At 46.3% G+C, this 5,423-nt stretch overlaps 1 annotated feature.

Annotated features, from left to right (window-relative positions):
* Positions 2,462-2,756: a silencer, noted in NCBI's record as "tiled region #432; K562 Repressive non-DNase unmatched - State 21:Repr". NCBI's record gives its function as "represses a minimal TATA promoter and a strong SV40 promoter by Sharpr-MPRA in K562 cells {active_cell/tissue: K562}" and the evidence as "EXISTENCE:reporter gene assay evidence [ECO:0000049][PMID:27701403]".

Here is a 5,423-nt window from a genome sequence, read left to right as displayed (position 1 = left end):
GGGATTCAGATGCAGGTGTTGTATCAAGGTAAAGTTGTCAGAAGAAATCCGTAAGGGAGGGAAGGAAGTAGAAGAGGGAAGGAAGAGTCCAGTAAGAATGGGGTTTGGGGTAAAATCTAGCCTTGGCCTGATCCATTGGGAGCTCTGGAGCATAAATCACACCACAGTGTTGATCTGCCTTAAGGCAAGGAGCTGACATTCTGTGCACCTGTATCAGTCACTGACACACCAAGGAGATGGGGGACCAACTTCCCAGGTACTGCCAGATGATATACCTTCAGTCATTCAGGGCCAATTCTTAGGTAAGTTCTTAGGTAGAAACCATTAGCTACAGCACTCCCAGTAGCTGAGGGATGATGGGCACACCTCCCAATAAAGGGGCTCTGAGCAGGCCACCAATAGCAGTAACCCCAAAAGGCATGATTGACTTTCTCATTAGCACCACTGTTCCCAGTAACAGAGCCTCCCAGGTGTGGTGAGCATTCCTGGGGCTTTAGACCTATACTCCTGAGGGTCTGCTTCATATATTGGGGTCTTTCCCAGATCAATCACCATTTAAAGGGGGCAAAACATCCTTCAGCATCCCAAAACAGATAACACTGCTAATCCCCTTAACATCCCCCTCTCCTATTGCAGAGGAACTCCTCTACTTCTGCCCAAAGAACTGATGGTCTCTTCCATGCCCCCATCCTCTGAAAAATCTGGTCTCCAAGATGGTTTTGTTCATTTATCTCCACTCAAACCTCTGATCCTCCCTGAGTATACGCCATTCACCCTGCTTCCCTTTCTTCAGCCTCCTCCTATCATAAAAACCACTTTCTTTCTTCTCTTCCATAACTAAAGTCTCATTTTATTCCAGCCCAAAGGGGAGACACCAGGGACCTTTTACAGATAAGGGTGCTCACAGAATGGGTGCTCTCTTCTCTTCCTCCCTATCTTCCTGCAATAAGGTTCTCCAAGGAATGTCAATGAAATGACCTCTGCCATAAACGGAAGAGATTTCTCAGCTATGGTCTTATCTTCACCCACGCATCACTGGCTGTCAGTCTGATGAGAATTTGAAGAATAAAGAGCAAAATCTGAGAATTCACAGATGGAAACTCACCTCATCCCACCCTTACCCAAACCCTCATGCCCCCATCAAGAGGATCTAGTGGACTCTGTTTCATCAGTCTGAGGACGTGTTGTCAGATTTGCCAGGAGGTAGAGAGGATATGTTTTGCAACCAGGGGAAGCAAAGAAACAAACAAGAAAACAAAGAAATCTTGCCTTGTATCTGAGAAATAAGAGTATTTATGCACATACTAAATGAAATCAGCTCAGTCACCATATGCACAGAGTGAAAGGGGCTGGTGTTCTAGACACTGACACTAAACAAAAGCTGCTTTCAAAACAATGCAGTCCGGGCATAGTGGCTCATCCCTGTAATCCCAGCACTTTGGGAGGCTGAGGCAGGTGGATCATGTGAGGTCAGGAGTCCAAGACCAGCCTGGCCAACATGGTGACACCCCATTTCTACCAAAACTACAAAAATTAGCCAGGCATGGTGGTACATGCCTATAATCTCAGCTACTTGGGAGGTTGAGGCATGAGAATCGCTTGAGCCCGGGAGGCAGAGGTTGCAGTGAGCCAAGATCAAGCCACTGAACTCCAACCTGGACAAAAGAGGGAGATTCTGTCTCAAAAAAATAAAAATAATACACGCACACAATGCATTTTGCAGGTTCCTGACAAAACCAAATAGTCATTTCTGGTGGTTTTATATTCAGATTAACTCTACAAATATTCAGCGAGCACCTGCTGTATGCCCAGCATTGTGCAATAGTCTAAAATACAAAGGTGGATGAGAAGGAGGTCACAGACTGCAGAGGGAAATCAGTGCATAAAAAAGCAAACAGACTACAACACAGCTCATGCTGTTGTCAGGGCAGGAAGACAGGTAGAAGGGAGTTGCTGCCTTGGCCTGAGGAGTTCCTCTCCTCAGGGGCTGCCCACGGGAGAGCTGGGTCTATAAAGAGAAGGAGTTCACAGGAAGAGAACACTTCTCCAACAGCATGGAGGCAGGAAAGAGCATGGTTTAGAAGCAAGTATTTGATGGAGATGAAATATCACCAGTGTGGGAAGAGGGGAAGGAGGTTATTTTCATCATCCTTATATTTGTAAATGCCTTATATGAGCAGGGCTTTCATCTGTCTTGCACTTCACTGTATCTCCAGCACTTAGAGCAGGGCCTACAGAATGTGCTTAATAAATATTTATTTTTGAAAGCGAACAGATGAATACATCAATGAATACGACATTTGCAACCTGGGTTTGTGAAGCACTTCAAACTAGTACACCCCTTTTATACGATGGCTTTATTAGTTAGAATAACACTAGCTATTATAACAAATAAACCCAGTATTTGCAATATCTTCACATAATAGAAATTTACCTCTCATTCACTTAAAAGTCCAATGCAAGTATCCATGGCTGGCCGTTGGCTTTCCTCCGCATGTTGATTTAAGGACCCGGGGTGCTTCCTGTGGCTCTACCATCCCCCGAGGGCCTCAGTGTCCTTTGTTTCTAGCCAGCAGAAGCAGAAAGAAAGCATAGGAAGCCTCACCAGCTTCTTAAAAGCCTCAGCTCACAAAGGATGCATCGCTGCCATTCACATCCCACTGGGGAGAACTGGTCAAGTGGCCTCACTTAAATGGAAGTGCAGGTGGAATGTGGAATTTCTGGCTAGACAGGCACCCCTCAGTGAAAACACCAACACCATACCATAGAAAGGAGAGTTTGTGGTGGACATAGCACTGTCTCAGCCACAACAGCCCTGGGCTCAGACAGGTTAAACCATGTATCCAAGAACATGCCACTCACAAGTGATGTAATCGTCCCTTCAGTTTAAGAAGTGGCCAAGTCCTTTCCTTCCTTCCCCTGCCTCCCTTATGCTAATTTTCCAAGCACTGAAGTCAGAAGGTGACATTTCCTGACCTTGTTCAAGATTCTGAAGAACTTTCCTATCAGAATCCTACAGCCTTATAAAAGAGATTTGTTTATTCTGCTCTTGGGGGAAACGCAAGCCAAGTTTTTAAACTAAAGGACCAAGAGAAAAATGTGCAAGAATTTTCCTAGGAATAGAGAGAGGGCGCCAATCAGAGCAGAAGACACAATGCCAGAAGAAAAGGGGGTTTGGGGAAAGCAACACAACCCAGGAGGGTCTGACAAGTTTGCTTCCATCCACAGCAACCCCCCAGTAGTAACAACAGCTAACATTGATTTAGCACCTACTGTAGACCAGGCATGGAGCCAAGTGCTTTAGAATCATTCTCTCTTTTAAGATTGCGCCACTGCAGTCCGCAGTCCGGCCTGGGCGACAGAGCGAGACTCCGTCTCAAAAAAAAAAAAAAAAGAATCATTCTCTCTTTAATCTTCAGAAAATCCAGTATGATAGCTACTGCCATTCTTATGTTTGAGATAAAGAAAAAGGCTCAGAGATGCTAAGCAACTAGCCAGAGTGACCCAGCCAGTCAGTGCAATGGTGGGATATGAGAAGTCTAGAGCCAGAGCCCAAGCTTTTCACCTTCTGCTGTCTTTACAATTAGAATCAGCTCTTCCGTGGCCATCGCCGCACCAGTGAGTTCACAGGTTCTGCAAGGCCTCAGCTGTCAAACTCCCAAAAGTAGGGCTGGTAGCCAAGGTTGGAAGATAGACAATGTAAGAGGTATGATCAGCAAAGGTTGTCACCTTTAGTGATGACCTAAAATCTTGTTTCCAGAAGGCCTATACCTGGGAAGGTAGAACTGTGTTGATTTAAAAGCTGGCATGCCCTCTTCTGTTCTACCAAGAGAAAAGGGTATCCTTGAAGGCTTCCAGTGCCTTCTGGATCACAGCAGGGTCTGGCCCACTTGCCCTGACCTGCCTCTTTTGCCTTCAACACATGAACATTTTTTTCCTTTGGCCTTCTTGCAATAAACTGTGCTGTACTTCTAAGTCAAGCAGTGTGACATACATTCAAATGACAGTCTTCACTTATGATGATTCAGGCCTCTTAAGTAACCAATCATTGTGACATTGAATGAGCTTAATTATCAGAGCACTTCAGTGCATAAATAACCATGCACACCCTGTTAGCCAGGCTGAAAGCTCTAACCGAATTCAGCAGTCTGGTCTCATCTGGCAAAAAAAAAACAACTCTCTGGAATTTGGTCCTGACGCTTTACCCTGCATTGTCAGGGTGACTGGAAGGGTCGACCCAGTGGAGCTGCAAACTCCCTAGGCTGACTCTTTTTGGAAAGACCCAAGTCTCTTCTCTTCAACAGGCAACTTGACTAAAGAGCAGAAAATATGGGTAACTTTAAAAGGAACTGATTCAATGGGAGCATCTCTTTTCAAAGTGCTTTCGGACGCAGCATCTCATTTAATCCACTCAATGATTGTAGAGGCTTCAGCCTCCTACACAGTGCTTGGAGCTTAATCAATATTAACTGAATGAATGGCAATCTAGAGATGAGAAAACTAGAGGTCAGAAGTTACATGGCTACTGGGCACAGTGGCTCACGCCTGTAATCCCAGCATTTTGGGAGGCCAAGCCGGGAGGATCACCTGAGGTCAGGAGTTCGAGACCAGCCTGTCCAACATGATGAAACCCTGTCTCTACTAAAAATACAAAAAATTAGCCAGGCCTGGTGGTGCACCTGTAATCCCAGCTACTCAGGAGGCTGAGGAAGAGAATTGCTTGAACCTGTGAGGCGAAGGTTGCAGTGAGCTATGATTGCGCCACTGCACTCCACCCTGGGTGACAGAGCAGGACTATGATTGCGCCACTGCACTCCAGCCTGGGTGACAGAGCAGGACTATGATTGCGCCACTGCACTCCAGCCTGGGTGACAGAGCAGGACTCCATCTTTAAAAAAAAGAAGTTGTTACATGGCTGGGCCAGGTGCAGTGGCTCACGCCTGTAATCTCAGCACTTTGGGAGGCCGAGGTGGGTGGATCACTTGGGGTGATCCATGGATCAGGCCAACATGGAGAAGTGGCCAAAATGGCGAGACCCAGCTTGGCTGACATGGCGAAACACCATCTCTACAAAAATACAAAAATTAGTCGTGCCCGTAGTCCCAGCTACTTGGGAGGCTAAGGCACGAGAAACACTTGAACCCTGGAGGTGGAGGTTGCAGTGAGCTGAGATCGCATCACTGTGCTCCAGCCTGAGCGACAGAGCAAGTCTCTGTCTCAAAAAGAAAAAAAAAAAAAGTTACATGGCTAGTCCACGCTGACCCAGTCGGTCTGCGGCAAGCCTAGCTCTTAATCTCAGAACTGCCAACTCAGTTATCAGATAGACAATCTGAGACTAATCAGGCAAGCAGCATTCTTACCATAGCTTATCTTTCCAGACCTAGGTCCACCAGCCTTGAACAGGCCCTGAGACTCATGTTCTT

The sequence above is a fragment of the Homo sapiens genome, chromosome 20 (genome assembly GCF_000001405.40).
Source record: "Homo sapiens chromosome 20, GRCh38.p14 Primary Assembly".
Classification (NCBI taxonomy): Eukaryota; Metazoa; Chordata; class Mammalia; order Primates; family Hominidae; genus Homo; species Homo sapiens.
This window is presented reverse-complemented; position numbering and strand designations above follow the sequence as displayed.